This window comes from Homo sapiens, chromosome 4, assembly GCF_000001405.40.
Source record: "Homo sapiens chromosome 4, GRCh38.p14 Primary Assembly".
NCBI classification, from domain to species: domain Eukaryota; kingdom Metazoa; phylum Chordata; class Mammalia; order Primates; family Hominidae; genus Homo; species Homo sapiens.
This window is the reverse complement of record NC_000004.12, coordinates 6,237,977-6,253,769: the sequence shown is the minus strand read 5'-3', so window position 1 is coordinate 6,253,769 and position 15,793 is coordinate 6,237,977. Positions and strand designations below refer to the sequence as shown.

Genomic DNA, 15,793 nt, shown 5'->3' with positions numbered 1-15,793 from the left:
AATTTCTGTAGGGGTCTACAAAGCAGGTGCTTTCAAAAACAGTGCTCAAAGAAAGTGGGAATTGAGAGGCAAACGAGGGTGTTTCTACCTGGGGTGCAGGAAGGAGCAGGCACGTGGCATTTGAGCTTAGCTTTCGTGAACATATAGGCGTTCTCCGAACACAGCTTGCAGGGAGGGGCTCAGGTAGATGGAATGGCATCTGCAGGGGTTCAGGTTTACGGAAACGGGTCACCTCCCATGGTCTCCCCACTTCCTCCCCTGTCTGCCCTCCAGGCTCACCGGAGCAGCCAGTGATGTCTGGGCTCATCAGTCCTTGGACAAAGCCCTCCAGGAGCTCTGTCTTCTCAATGTAAAAGCCAAAGTCCTTCCAATGCCCCCAAGGCCTTGCGTGGCCTGGCGGTGTCACCCGTGGGCCCCATCTCCCACCTCCACTGTTTTTTTGCTCACTGGCCTCAAGCTGGCCTTGCTGGTCCTGGAACATGCTGAGCCTACTCCTGCCTCAGGTCCTTACACTTGCTGTTCCCTCTGCCTGGATGCTACACAGCCACGCCCAGAGTTCATGATCCCAACACATGTGCCACCTTCTCAGACACCCTCCCTGGCCACCCTAGGGGACACTGCAGCCCTCCCATCCCGTCCCCCTTCCTTCCTCCCTGCTGGGTGCCATAAGCTTAGCTGTTGATTTCTTCGCCTGCCTCCCATTAGAACATGAGTCCAAAGAGGGAGGGCTCCGTTTGCTCACCATTGCCCCCGAGTGCCTAGAGCACTGCCTGGCACCCGGCAGGGGCTCTATAAATAGAGATGGAAAGAGGGAGGTGGGCGGGCATGCGTGGGCTTAGGTGGGCCCAGCAAGAGATGCCCTTGGGCAGGACAGCTTGGTGTGCATGGCCAAGGAGGGTGGGTCCCAAGCCAAAGGCATTGAACACCAGGCTGAGGAGTGAGGATGCCACCTGCTGTATCACCCAGGCAATAGGGAGCCTCTAAAGGCTTTTTCTTTCCCCCAAGATGAAGTCTTGCTCTTGTCGCCCAGGCTGGAGGGCAGTGGTGGGATCTCAGCTCACTGCAACCTCTGCCTCCTGGGTTCAAGCGATTTTCCTGCCTCCCGAGTAGCTGGGATTACAGGTGGGCACCACCACGCCTGGCTAATTTTTGTATTTTTAGTAGAGATGGGGTTTCACCATATTGGCCAGGCTGGTCTCGAACTCCTGGCCTTGTGATCCGCACGCCTCGGCCTCCCAAAGTGCTGAGATTACAGGCTTGAGCCACTGTGCCCGGCCCCTAGAGGCTTTAAGCAGGGGAGTGGCCTGGTCAGAGCCATGCTCTGGGATGGTATGGCCTACCACTGTGGCCCAGCAGGCTTGAGGGTCCCAGTTAGTGCCCCTGGAGCCAAGCAGAGGACTGGACAGGATCCAGCGTGGGGAGGGAGCCCTCCCTGCTCTTGTTACCTTGGCAGAAACCCCGAGAACACTAGGTCCGTGGGCAGCCCCTGCAGGCCTGTCCTGCTCTGCTGGCCAAGGCTTGGAGCTCTGCCTGGGGCAGGAGGTGCCCATGAGAATGCCAGGGAGTGCGAGCTCCCCCAGAGACCCAGGCAACAAGCACCCACTCGACTCCAGGGCTCAGAGCCCTCGCTAGGATGCCGTCAGCATTTGGGCTGCTGCCTTTTGCACTCCAATACTTGAGTTCAAGTCCTGGCTCCACCACTGACTCCGGGCTACAGGGACCTGGGCTATAGCCATGTCCTCCTCTGAACCTTGGTTTCCCCATCTGTGAAATGGCTGGATTTGTGCCCTCAGCTCTGCCCTCTCTTACCTCGCACCTCCCTACCCATGCCCAGAGCCTCCTTGACACAGACAAATGTGCCATCGCCTCTGGAATGCTGGGCACCTTAACAGTCCAGGCCTGCCAGACACTCCAAATTCTAGGGCCTCCCAGGGCCTTAAATGACAGGAAGAGAAGGCCATCTTATCTCTGGAGACAGAAGCTTGGGGCTTGGTTCTATTTCCCTGGCAAATTCTGGGGCACAAACCAGAAAGCTGCAACAGGAAAAGACCCATACTATGCAAGCCTAGGCTTTAAAACCGAGAGGGACCCCGGGAATCTCGCGCGCCAACTGCCTGCACTTTAAGGATAGAGGCACGCGGGCCAGGAGAGAAGTGACTTGCCCAAGGTCACCTGGTGGCAGTGAGTGCCGTGCAAGCCCCAAACCCCCCAGTCCTGGGTTCCCACATCCCTGCAGGCTGGCTCAACTGTAGGGCCTCCGCTGTGGAAATCAGTCCTCCGACCTCAGATCTGGAGGCCCATGGCCAATGCACATTTCCGATTAAACATGCCTTTGAGGCCGGACACGGAAGCTCGCACCTGTTACCCAAGCACTTTGGGAGGCTGATGTGGGAGGATCACTTGAGCTCAGGAGTTCGAGACCAGCCTGAGCAATATAGTGAGACCATGTCTCTACAAAAATGAAAATAAAAAAATTAGCTGGGCATTGTGGTGCACACCTGTGGTTTCAGTTACTTGGGAAGCTGATGGGGAGGATTGCTTCAGCCTGGGAGGTTGAGGCTGCAGTGAGCTATGATCATGCCACTGCACCCCATCCTGAGTGACAGAGCAAGACTCTGCCTCAAAAAAACAAAAACAAAACCCCCCAAACAAACAAAAAACCCAACCCTCACCTTGGCCCTCCCAAAAAAAACCCATGCTTTTGAGGAGGTCAGCAGAAAGCTCTTGTCTTTGGGGTGGGGATCGGGGGTGTAGAGGAAGATTTGACTCTTGGAGGTAACTCCCAGCCCTGTTTGTGACATTTTATTTTTCTCTTTCCAAGCTCCTGGTTGGCAAATCAAACAACTAATCACTTGACTCTTGTGCCCTCTAGTGGTCACTCTTTGAATAGCAATAGTTAGGACTAAATTTAAACGGCAAAGTACTCAGGTAATCCCCAAGCCGTTTGTCTAGGGCCACGCTTCTTAGACACTCCCAGGCCTACAGATCATCTTGGAATATTATTAAAATGCTGATTCTTTCTCAATAGGTCTGGGGCGAGCTCTAGATTCGGCATTTGTAACCAGTTCCCAGGTGATGTCGATGCGGCTGGTGCTTAGAGCACACTTTTGCGTCGGGAAGAGATTCAGCACTTAAGAGCCACCTACATTCCCCTCTATGCAGGTGCCCACAGGAGGCGCTTCCCTGTGCCATCTCACTACCTGACGTCAAAGAAAAGGTGCAGAGGTGACTTCCCCAAGGACGCATAGTGGTGAGGCAGGGGTTTTCACCAAGGATCTTTTGATTCAAAGCCAGTACTCCCCACATGCACAGTAACATATCGGAAGACATTCTATGTTAGCAGATATCACAGACAGCACGGCACAGTCCACTCGGAGCTCAGAGCTCTCCACCTGCTGGATCATCCCTTGCTGCATAATTTGAAAAGCCCAGTGCAAAATAAAAATTCAGGCCCCTTATTCAAAAAGCAGGAGGAAAGTGCAGTTACAGGGGTGAAATAGAAAGCTTTTCCCTTGAAAAATTTATTACTTATGCAATGTAATAGGGATAATAGTGATGCATGAGTAACAACATAAACTTACAAATTTGTCAAAATAATATTTTGGGTGTGATTATTTATACAATAAAACAAATAATACTTTATGTGATAACTGGATTAGAAGCTTTCCCTGGCTCACTTTTCTGCAAATTCATTTATTAGGTTATCAAAGCTTACACTTTTAGCAACTTTGTTTTCAATCGATATAATTGAATGTGACATCAGTTGCTGTTGGCAAATACAAGCTCACAAATCATTTTAGGACACTTTCCATTTTAAGAAGGACCTTTCTGCTGATGCATTTTTTATTGGAGCTATTAAGAGTATCTTATAGGCTATAATAACTTTGAGATACATTTTTTATAATTTTGAAATACAAATGTTGGTATATCTAGAGCTGATGATTCTTGCAGAACAATTTTTCTAAAAATATTTAACTCTTTATACAAATCATTTTTATGTGAATCTGAATTTAATTTTAAATGTAGACAGACAGTGGTATTTTAATGTTTCATGGCTGACCTTCCTGCAACCTGTGGGGGTTATACAGAAAACCAGCGGTGGCTTTAAGGATTGAATGCACTATAGCGTAATTGCCCGTTTATGCCTTGTATCACTGTATCTTGAATTACAAGGGGAATTTAATTTTAAAATCATCTTCCTCATTAATAATTGTATCATCAAAGCTCAGTACGAAAATATTGTTCTTTTGGTCAAACGTGACCATCTTTATCTTTAATTTCTATTTCTAAGCTTTTGGATATTTGTTTATTATAATGTTGCAATAGTTTTTGAAACCAGAGATTCTAAACTTGTTGGAGAGTTCCCGTAACTCCCAATACGCTTTATTACAGTGTCCCTGTGTACACTTCTGTTTTGTAATAACTTATAAAGTTTACTGCTTGAGCCCTGGCAGTTCCCATCCTGGCCTGAGAGTTCCATATTTATGCAGGGGCCGCAGGAGCCACAGGGGCTGGCTCTTGGGATGGAAGGGCTGGCCGGCCCCCCACTGTGGTCTAGGCACTTCCCGGCGTGAAGAGAGGAAATAGTTCACGGCTCACGACTTCAACTTGTCTGGCCATAAAAGTGGGTCGTCAAATTTAAAGGGTCTGTGATGAGGATTGTCTAAGATTTTAAAGCTGCATCCCATGCTTTATTAGGAAGTCCTGAAAGCAATTCAGTGGGCTGTGTGCAGTAGCTAAAACATATGAAATAGAAAAGAAAACAAAGGGTCAGAGCGCACCTCTGAAGTGGAGTAAATATTGTTGGGCAAGGGCTTGGTCTTAGTTATATCTGTGTGCTGGGCCATATGTAAAATTCATTTCTTACCATGCCTCCTGTCCCAGCAGGGTGACTGAGACTGTGATGCCACAGCTCTGCTTGCTCTGTTACCCCTAGTGATTTGGTTTCCTGGGGCACTTTAAATTTGGCCAGAGAAGAATGTCCTGCTGAGGCTTGGGACCCAAGCTCCAGGTGCAGGCCAGGCTGGCATCGACGACCCGACCCACTAGGAGGGGGCGCATGTGCACCAATGTCTGTGTCTGTCACTCCTCTCTGCTCCTCGACCTCACCCGCAATGCTGAAGGCCCAGGTTTGGCTGTTTCATCCCCAATGACCCAGAATGGTGGCCCTAGGTCCTGTAAGTGCGGGCTCATTGGGTGGAGATGTGTGGGCGCCTCAGCTGGGGGGCTTGCTTGCTGGCCAGACATGAAACCCAAGGCCCGACCTGAACCCCAAGGTGCACTGTGAATGGAATCACTTTAGCAATAAGGCTCAACCACAGGGATTACACGAGACAGTCAGCCCAGGCATGGCACATGCCAGGCAGTCCATCTGGGTTTTGTTATCACTGCATCTCCCAGCATTGATCCTGGGAGAGTGACTGTCAATAACAACATGAATAACTAGGTCTAGAGCCCCTGCAGGATACAAGCATCACACAGGGCACTTTAAAAAAATGCATCTGCTTTCATCCTTGCAGTAACCCCGTCAGGTATTGATATCCCATTTTATACATCTGAAACCTGAGGCTGAGAGAGGGAGTGCCCTGCTCAGTGCCCCACCTGAGCTAAGGTGGAGATAAGATTGAGTGTGGGGACTGGGCGTGTCTGCTGACATCGAGACTGGAAGTATTAGATCCCCCAGCTATTCTAACTCGCTTGTGGCAGTGGGGAAAAAAGGCGAAGGGGTGGGCTTCAGGTCCTGCAGGCTTCTGGAGGTAGCACCAAGGCCAGAATTAACCCTGCCCACCATCTGCAGGTAAATCCTTCCTCTTGCTGCCCAAGACACGCACTGCACCTCCTGGACCATGGCACTGCTCCCTCCTCACTTGGAAACTGCCACTTTAGTGTTATTCTGTGGAAAAGCCCTGTCTCAGTTCCAGGTGCCTGGGGATAGCTACTACCAATTTGCTGTGTGTCTGGGAGGACCCCTTTCCCCCTCTGGGCACCTGTATTTCCTATGGTGACAGGAAGGGGCTGAGCTAAATGAGCTACATAGTCAGTGTTAGGGTTGCCAGATAAAATACAGGATGCCCAGTGTGATGGTTAATACTAAGTGTCAACTTGATTGAAGGATACAAAGTATTGATCCTGGATGTGTCTGTGGGGGTGTTGCCAAAGGAGATTAACATTTGAGTCAGTGAACTGGGAAAGGCAGACCCACCCTTCATCTGGGTAGGCACCATCTGATCAGCTGCCAGTGAGGCTAGAAGATAAAGCAGGCAGAAACATGTGAAAGGAGAGACTGGCTTAGCCTCCCAGCCTCCATCTTTCTCCCACGCTGGATGCTTCCTGCCCTCAAACATCAGACTCCAAGTTCTTCAGTTTTGGGACTCGGACTGGCTCTCCTTGCTCCTCAGCTTGCATTTGGCCTATTGTGGGACCTTCTGATCATGTGAGTTAATACTTAATAAATTCTCCTTATATATAGATCTATCCTATTACTTCTGTCCCTCTACAGAACCCAGACTAATACATCCAGTTAGATTTGAATTTCACATAAACAACGGATAACTTTTATATAAGTATATCCCAAATATTGCAAGGGATATACTTACGTTAGCAGTGGCAAATCCATATGGGTCTGCAGCAACCTCAATTCTTTGCATCCTCAGAAGAAATAATTCAACCTAGGGGCATAAGACAGAGTTTGAGACCGAGGCAAGTTTTAGAGCTAATGTGACAGTTTATTAAAAAGTTTTAGAGCAGGAAGGAAAGGATGTAAAGTACACTTGGAAGAGGGCCACGTGGGTGACTTGAGAGATCAAGTGTGCGGTTTCACCTTTGACCTTGGGTTTTATATGTTGGCATGCTTCTTCGGGGTTGTGTCCCTTCTCCCTGATTCTTCCTTTGGGGTGGGCTGTCTGTATTCACAGTGGCCTGCCAGTACTTGGGAGGGGCTGCATTGCGGTGTGTTTACCAGAGTTGTACGCATGCTCTCTTGAGGCGTGCTTCCCTTACCAGTGGAGTTCTCCTAGAAGGTTACAGACCAGTTAAACTCCACCATTTTGCCTCTTAGCGTGAATGCTTGAGCCCACCTGCCCAACTCCTGCGATCTATTCGGAAAGCTGCTGATCACCAGCTTCCAGTGTTTCTACGGAGTGGGAGACCAACTTTCCCTGGCACTGGCTGCATGGGGGGCGGTGGTGGCTCTCCTGCCCTGCTCCTGTCTGACTACCTACCTACTGTAAGACTTACACTGAAAGTTGTCTATCTGAAATTGAGATTTAGCTGGTGGTGTCTGTATTTTTATCTGCTTTATCTGTGAATCCTATTCATAGTCTAATTTGGAGAATCTGACTGTTAATCACTCATCAAGGTTGGCCCAGCTGGCACCAGGGTCCGGGCTCTGGAAGAGCTCCCAGCCCAGAGGGGAAGCAGGGAGAATGCCGGATACCGTGGGGAGGGGGTAAAGTGGGAGGGCAGGGCCGGTAGGGAGGAGGTGGTAACTGCCCGGAGGGAGAGACTGGTCTGGAAAGAAAAGGGTGCCCTTCCTCCTGCAAATGGGGCTAACAGCCCTGCAGGCCCCGCGGTCAGAGCAGAGAACAGACACAGTCAGGATGGAAAAGAAGCCCTCGCCTTTGCTGACGGCGCCTCCAACAAGGTGTGGGGCTCCTCTCTTCCATCCGTAAACGGCTCGACCTGCCCCGCCGGGGGGCTGCGTGCAGGAAATGCAATCGTGTGTGCAGGGCGCGCGGCACAGAGCAGGCCTTCGAGGCGCTGGGAACTGTCATCCACCTGGCTGGGAGAAGGGCGCTGGGGCTCCTGGACTAGGCGGCCTTCGCGAAGCCAGAAGGAGCTGCTTTCCTCCCGCAGACGCCGCGTCCACGATGGCTTCTTGCTCTGGAGCCCACCCTGCTTTGGCTCTGGGCAGCCCCGTCTTCAGCGAAAACTACACCTCCCAGCAGGCTTTGCAGCGCCCGCCTGGCCCCTGGGATGCGCGAGGGGTGCCCTGGGACTTTCTGGAAGCTCTAGTCCTGCCTGGAGAGCAGGGGCGATGCCCGAGTCGCGAGGCCCCGTAGGGCGATGGCTGCAGGCACTGCGGCCGCGCACCCGGGGGTCTGCACGGAGAGCAAGCGCCTCCCGACTGCGCAGTCCCTGTGCTTTCGCTGTGCTGCGAGGCCACCGTAGCCAGGGCTCTGCCCCAGACAGCTCCCGTCCTGGAAGCTCCTCCCGCGCTGCGCAGGAAGCCCCTCTCCCACTGCGGGGTGCGCGCCCTTGCTCGGCTCCCAGGAGCGCGGGCGACCCCCACACCCGAGCACCCAGGGCACAGCCTCCCAGGGGGAGCACCGCACTCCCTGCCCAGGGGCTCTTCTGGCCTTCTGTGCTCAGGTTGCCACTGGTGCAGCAGGCCGGAAGTCCTCCTGGAAGCGGTCCTCCTGCAGACTGGAGGGAGCTGCTGCACAAACACCCTGGCTTCCTCGCCATCACGTGTTGACTCTCAGATGCACGCGCTGCGCTGGCTTCTGGCTTTCCCAGCTCCAGTGGCTAGGATAACCCCCTAACTCACAAAGCTGTCTTCCCTTCCCAGTTTCTCTTCCCTAACTCCCTATAGCATATAATAAATTCCTCTTCAAAGGTTTTAGCCTGTAAATTGTTGAGTACAATGGGTTCTGAGATCCTCTCCAAATAACTAATGTATCAGTATGTTCAGCTCCCCTGTTCTTTGTTCTTCGTTTTAAAGTTTAACTTCCTCGTTTTTTTCGTCTCCTTGCCCCTAGTTTCAGTAAACAACCCCCTCCTTGCCTCTATCACCAGCTCTGTCCCGAGTTACCCCTGGTCACCTGCTCTGACCTGAGTCATCCTGAGTCACCTGTTCTGTAACCATCTTTCCTGCCAAACTACTCACCCCGCCACTCCAGCTCGTACCCCTGCTCTCTTTGAAATGGCCAGTTGGAATTAGCTTAGACTGTGCAGTCCAACACTAGCCAATAGGGGAATGACACAGCAGGAGGGGCTGCTTGAGTCAGAAATAAAAACCCCTTCCCCTCCCTTGTTCAGGTGTGCTTTTGCCATTGCTCCATCCACGAATCACACCCTTCTATAGAAGTAAAATTGCCTTGCTGAGAAAATTAAATTTATGTCCGAGTGCCATGAAAATTTATTTATAACATCCCCTACCTGGGATTACCTCCCAGATAACCCGCTTGCAGGCAAATGCTGATCTTGGGGTTGGTTTCTTGGGGACCGAAACTTGGACAAGTTGATTGCCTTACTCCATCTTCACCCCACCATTTAAGGCTGACAAGTAGCGATTATTGACCTAATGTTGTTGGTTGTCTCCTCAATGGAGAAAACCAACTGTGCCCCAAGTCACCGTGGTGGCCCACAGGAGGTAGCAATGGGCTCAAAATCAGGGCTCCAGAGGCCAAGACCGTAAGCGCTCTGGTCCCCATGGCTGCTTGGCGCCTGTGCACATGGTCAGAGTGGGTGTGTACATGTCCCTCTAAGGGATGTCAGGTGTGGAAAGATGGAGCCATGTTACCAAAATCTTCCCAAATCAATGCTGCCCAGGTTATAGTCCACAGTAGGAACACTTACAGAGCAGATGCTCTGCTGAGCCCCAGACACAGACACAGACTGAGCTGGTTGCTCACACAGACTCACACGTGCACACATACATGCACATGCATGCACACACATGCACACTCATGAACACACACACAGACACACACACACAAACTTATTTTCTCCTTGGTCAGCAAAGCTGTCTGACTGTCCACCTGCAAAGCCCTGAGACTTTGCATCCTTCCTTTGCTGCTATGGGAGCTACACTTGAGCACCTGGGAGGGGTCCTGGAGGCTGGTCCTGGGGCAGGACATGGCCTTATGCTGCAGAGTAGGGAAGGGAGAGGAAGAGTTACTGCCAGGACAAAGCTGGGGGAGCACCAGTCTCACTTGATCTTAATTCATTCACTCTCCTCTTAAACCCTCCTGGAGACCTACTGGGCCTGGGAAAGAACTCGGAGGTTCACTTTGCCCTGGGACTGGGTCTTGAAGGCTGAAGCTCTGCTCCCCACCTTGGCACCCCCAGTACCCCTGGTGTACATGACTCAAGGTCACCCCGATGCCTTGACCACACCAGTACCCCTGATTCACTACCCCTGTGCCACACTTCTGAGACTCAGAGCCCTGTGAAGTCATAAAACATCTCTAATTTCTGGACTTCCAGCACCAAGCCCAGGGCTTGTCATACAGTAGGTGCTCAGAAGATGTCTTCTGGAAGGAATGAACTTAGTGAGCGGACTGGAGTGGGAACTGCAGGAAGTAGAGAGAGTGGCTGGAGCCAGGAAGGAGCTGAATCTGGCAAAACTGCTTTCTGGACATTACTTGATGCTAGATGCATTTGTAACTCTGCTTTCTGAAAGCCACGTTCCTTTCTCATCACACTGCCCAGGTACCAGCTCCAGCACCTTCCATCACACGTTCCCTGTGAGGACGCTCATGTGAACACACCTGACGTTAGCCAGCCCCCCACTGCCCAACAGCCCACAGCATTCTGCAGCTGCTTCCCAAAGCAGCCAATGTCATGACTGCAGGAATTGCATCTGAGTGTCAAGGAAGAAAGAATGGGGGCTGGTGGGCTTATTAACACTAAAGAGTGTGCCTCCTACCTGCTCCCTGCATCTGGTAAGACCCAAGTCTGCCTATTCCTTCTTCCTTAGTAGCCCTCGAGCCTGACCACTTTTGTCCAATCCTACATGATGTATGTGTAAAATTTCACATGGAAATCACTCCAAGGCCAATGCTCTCACTCAAGGTTAGGGGAATGGGAGGGGCATGGAGGGGAAGGGTCTCTCCAAGCTTCTGCAGCAGCAGGACCCACCCACCCCTCTCATGCCAGGGGCCTGGGTCGGAGCTTCACTGTTTGAGAGCAGGAGTGCTCCAGCCTGTGTCCAGCCGTGGTGTGCCCTAGGAGTCACTGCACCATCGTGTGCTGGTGTAACCGTAGGCTGTCCCCACTGCAGTGTCCATCAGCGGGGACAGGGTGCTGGGGTTGGCTGCATCACACCATACACAGGTGACAACAAAGGGGACTACATGTAGATGGGAAGGAGTGCTAAGTCAGGCGCAGAACAGCACACCAAGAACAATATGAACAGTGCCCTCCCATGGGTAAGAAATAGGAATCACGCTGCTGACAGGCGAGCTTCTCTGCTAGTGTTTGTATGGTGCTGACGGCTGGTCAGAAACGCACTAGTGGGGCCACATCAGGTCTGTTTGGCAAATGTCCCCCAGACCATCCACCATCTAAGGTGCTGAAACCTGGCTCAGCACATGACCCCCAGGGACCCTGCTCCAAGGACAAAGCCTGCTTGCTGGTGGTGTCCTGAGAAGTGCCAGTTTTCAACTATTCAACTATCAACCCATTCATTCATAAATAGAAAAATGCCTGGAAGGAAAGATGCACATGAAAATGTTAACAGCGAAAACTTCCAGGGAGAGGAAGGGGAATGGCCGCAGTTTCTGACTGTCCAAAGGATTGCGTCTGAATATTTTAGGACGAAATGGCATTCATGAGTTTTTCTTTAAAGAAAAGAGTGTATCCGGCTGGGCATGGTGGCTCACGCCTGTAATCTCAGCACTTTGGGAGGCCGAGGCAGGCGGATCACGAGGTCAGGAGATCGAGACCATCCTGGCTAACACAGTGAAACCCTGTCTCTACTAAAAATACAAAAAAAAAATTAGCCGGGCTTGGTGGTGGGCGCCTGTAGTCCCAGCTACTCGGGAGGCTGAGGCAGGAAAATGGCGTGAACCCAGGAGGCGGAGCTTGCAGTGAGCAGAGACCACGCCACTGCACTCCAGCCTGGGCAACAGAGTGAGACTGCGTCAAAAAAAAAAAAAAAAAAAGCGTGTATCCTCCGATCCTGCACAAGGATGCATCATCTACTGCTCTCCTCCCTCCCTCCCTTCCTCTGCATTTCCAATCTCCTTCCCTTTGCACACACAGGTTTCCCTGCCTGCGTGCCGGTGTCCCCTTTGATGAAGGAGTTTGTAACTGTCCCCATGGGCCCCGCTGGAAGGCTCTGGCCTCTATCTGGCCCTTCGCTGAGCCACCCTGCTGCATAACTCGTTGCCTCCCACCTGAGTGCCAACGGCACCTTGTCCATGGAGGCAGACTCCCCAGCCCCCTGCCCCTGTCCCCTGACAGGCTCCTTACCAGGGGCTCCTTCATCTCTGCATTCCTCTGCCCAGTGCCCAGCTCAGGGCCTGGTACCCATGGGGCTGGGTTAGGGATGACCGGAGTCATTGTCTATCTCCCCATCCTCCAGCACACAGCATAGCTGGGATGCGCTGACACACAGGAATGTTTGTTGAGTGAAGAAAAGAGTGAAGCATGTACGAATAAGTCAATGGACAGACAGGAGTGTCCCAGGGCCTTGGCTGTATGGCCTAGTGAGGACCGGAAGGAGCATGAGGCAGGGGAGAGGGGAGAAGGGAGAGTGGAGGGGGCAGCGAGCGCCCTCCACGGCCCGGCTCACCCGGTGTCCATCACTTGCGGGCTGAAGTGGGACAGCATCAGCACCATGCTGAGGGTCTCAAACTCCTCCAGGTCCCCCCCATAGGTCTTCAGCCCTGCCAGCTCCACCTCCAGCCTCTACTGCTGGTTCTGAAAGGAACATGAGAGGTGCATGCCCTGGCCTCTACTGGGAGAGAGACACTCAGATGTCATGAATAGACGGGCAACAAGTGAAAGAGTAAATAAGAAAGGGAATGAAGTACATAAATACATATATAAGTAAATGAATAAGTAAATACATATGTCAGCAAATCAAAAGTAAATATGTAAATAAGTACATAAGTAAATAAATAGGTGAATAAATAAATAAGCAAGTAAATAAATATGTAAATAAATACACTCATGCCCTGCAGAGCACCTGAGATCTATAGACATTGCCAGGATCTCTCTTCCTCTCCAGGAAGTGGAATAATGGCCCCACCCACACTGTCTCCACTCGTTAAAATCCTATGACTTCTGGCCGGGTGCAGTGGCTCATGCCTGTAGTCCCAGCACTTTGGGAGGTCGAGATGGGCAGATCACTTGAGGCCAGGAGTTTGAGACCAGCCTGGCCAACATGGTGAAGCCCTGTCTCTACTAAAAGTAGAAAAAATTAGCTACTCAGGAGGCTGAGGCAGAAGAATCACTTGAACCTGGGAAGTGGAGGTTGCAGTGACCTACGATTGCACCACTGTGCTCCAGCCTGAGCAACAGACTGAGAATTCAGCTCAAAAACTCCTATTACTTCACTCTGGGCCGTTTGCAGGAGCTCAAGAGCTCACCAGACCCTCAGAGAGGCATGCCTGCCTCATTTTATAGGCTGGGGAAGCGAAGTTCCAAGGGGCTCAGGGACCTGTCCAGAGGTCCCCCAGCCGGGGAGGAGGGCTGAGTTCCACAATTGTGTCCATCCAATTCTGGACCTGAGCCTTTCCCAGGTTCCTTTTGCGTGGCTTCACCAGGGCTGTGCAGGTGGAAATCAGGTCCCGCCCAGCCAAGAGAAGGGGCAATCCAGTGGTGAGGGCTCTGGAGGCTCTAGCCCACTGGAATACAAGCTGTCAGCCAGGCCTCTCCCACTGCGGCCTCTGACCTTTGGCATCCTAGGAGGGGGCGCCTGTCTTCAGGAGCTCCCGTCTTCAGGAGCTCCGCCAGGTGAGGCACCTTGCTTAGAGGGTCGTGGACGCAAACCCCAAGGACCCCTGTGGGCTGTTTTTCAGGGACCTCTGTCGGGTGGGCTATTGCGTGATGGCTTTGGATTACTGGAATGTTTTCTTTCTTTTAAAAAATTTAACACCCACTGTTCTTCAGAATTCTTTAATAAGCTGCAGGGAAATGAATAAAGTTACTCTCAAAGGAAAAAGGATTTTGATGGAATTTGGGGTGCACAAAAGTCTGGGCTGAAGGGCCTTTGGGAGGGATGGGAGTGGGTCAGCTGCAACCCTGATCCAAGGTGACCCCAGGGCGCCAGGTGCCCTGCTAGGTACTGCTCTAGGTGGTCCACACGGACAAGTCTCTGTGATCGCCATGACAACCCCATGGAGCAGGACCTACCTGCATCCCTGGATGACAGGCAGGCGGTGAGGAAAGCTGCCTGGGGCACATGGCTACGGAGGACACAGCCAGGATTCCAGCCCCCGATGGCCAGGCCAGGGCCTGGGCTCCTAACCACGAGAGACTCCAACGCCACTCCAGGGTCCCAGCAAGGCTTGTGCTTTTTACATAATCATTGAACTTCCAGAAATCCCTCTAAGGAAGCCAACAAGAATGGGCACAAAGACACACACAGAGCAGAACGTTCAGCAGCCTGATTTCTAACGTAAGAACCAGGTGTCACCAAAACGTACAGTCATAATGGCCAGGCACGGTGGCTCACGCCTGTAATCCTAGCACTTTGGGAGGCCGAGGAGGGCGGATCACTTGAGGTCAGAAGTTCAACACCAGCCTGGTTAATGTGGTGAAACCCCATCCCGACTAAAAATACAAAAATTAGCCGGAAATCACTTGAACTCAGGAGGCGGAGTTTGCAGTGAGCCAAGATCATGCCACGGTACTCCAGCCTGGGCGACAGAGTGAGACTCTGTTTCAAAACAAACAAACAAACAAACAACGACACAGTGAGGAACTGGGCAGCCAGTGCGGCTCACGCATATGATGAAATATTATGCAGCCAGGAGGGGCGATGCCTAAAAGAACGTTGAAGGAGATGTGAAAATGCTCACGCTCTTCTGCAAATGGGAGCTGCAGGACGGATTTTACCTTCATGTCCATCTCTCTATCTCTCTTTCTCTCCATCTTTCTATCTCTATCTCTATATAGAGATATAGTTAGATATATTTATTTAGATAAATATAAGATAAATATGCAGATATACAAATAACATGCAGATATATTTAGGTAGAGAGATAGAGAAATAGGCGGGTAGATTCAGATATTTATAGAAAATAAGACTAGAAACACTGCACTGAAATGCTAACAACACTTCTCTACTGATAGTGTTTACATTTTCTTCATATACTTTTCTGAAATTTCAAAATTTTCTTCAATTAATATGTTTATTTTATTTTATTTATTTTGAGACAGAGTCTCGCTCTGTCACCCAGGTTGGAGTGCAGTGGTGCAACCTCAGCTCACTGCAACATCCGCCTCTTGGGTTCAAGCGATTCTCGTGCCTCAGCCTCCTGAGTAGCTGGGATTACAGGTGCCTGCCACCAAACCCAGCTAATTTTTGTATTTTCATTAGAGACGGGGTTTCACCATGTTGGCCAGGCTGGTCTCGAACTCCTGGCCTCAAGTGATCTACCCGCCCTGGTCTCCCAAAGGGCTGCGATTACAGGCAGGAGCCACTGTGCCTAGCTTCAATGAATATGCTAATTTTATAAGCAGAATAAAACAATAATTTTATTTTATTTTATTTTTTTGAGATGAAGCCTTGCTCTGTCGCCCAGGCTTGAGTGCAGTGGTGCGATCTTGGCTCACTGCAACCTCCACCTCCCAGATTCAAGTGATTCTCCTGCCTCAGCCTCCCAAGTAGTTGGGATTACAGGCATGTGCCACCACGCCCGGCTAATTTTTTTGTATGTTTAGTAGAGACAGGGTTTCGCCATGTTGGCCAGGCTGGTCTCGAACTGCTGACCTCAGGTGATCCGCCCACCTCGGCCTCCCAAAGTGCTGGGATTACAGGTGTGATCCATCTTGCCCGGCCCTTGAAATTCCTTTTAATAGAGTTTGTTTCTTCCTCTGATAATTTAAGTGACATCTA

The 15,793-nt window shown here is 51.2% G+C and overlaps 1 annotated feature.

Annotated features, from left to right (window-relative positions):
* Positions 7,187-7,817: an enhancer, noted in NCBI's record as "H3K27ac-H3K4me1 hESC enhancer chr4:6247680-6248310 (GRCh37/hg19 assembly coordinates)". NCBI's record gives its function as "activates a minimal SCP1, AML or CMV promoter by ChIP-STARR-seq in naive H9 embryonic stem cells {active_cell/tissue: H9 hESC(naive)}" and the evidence as "EXISTENCE:reporter gene assay evidence [ECO:0000049][PMID:30033119]".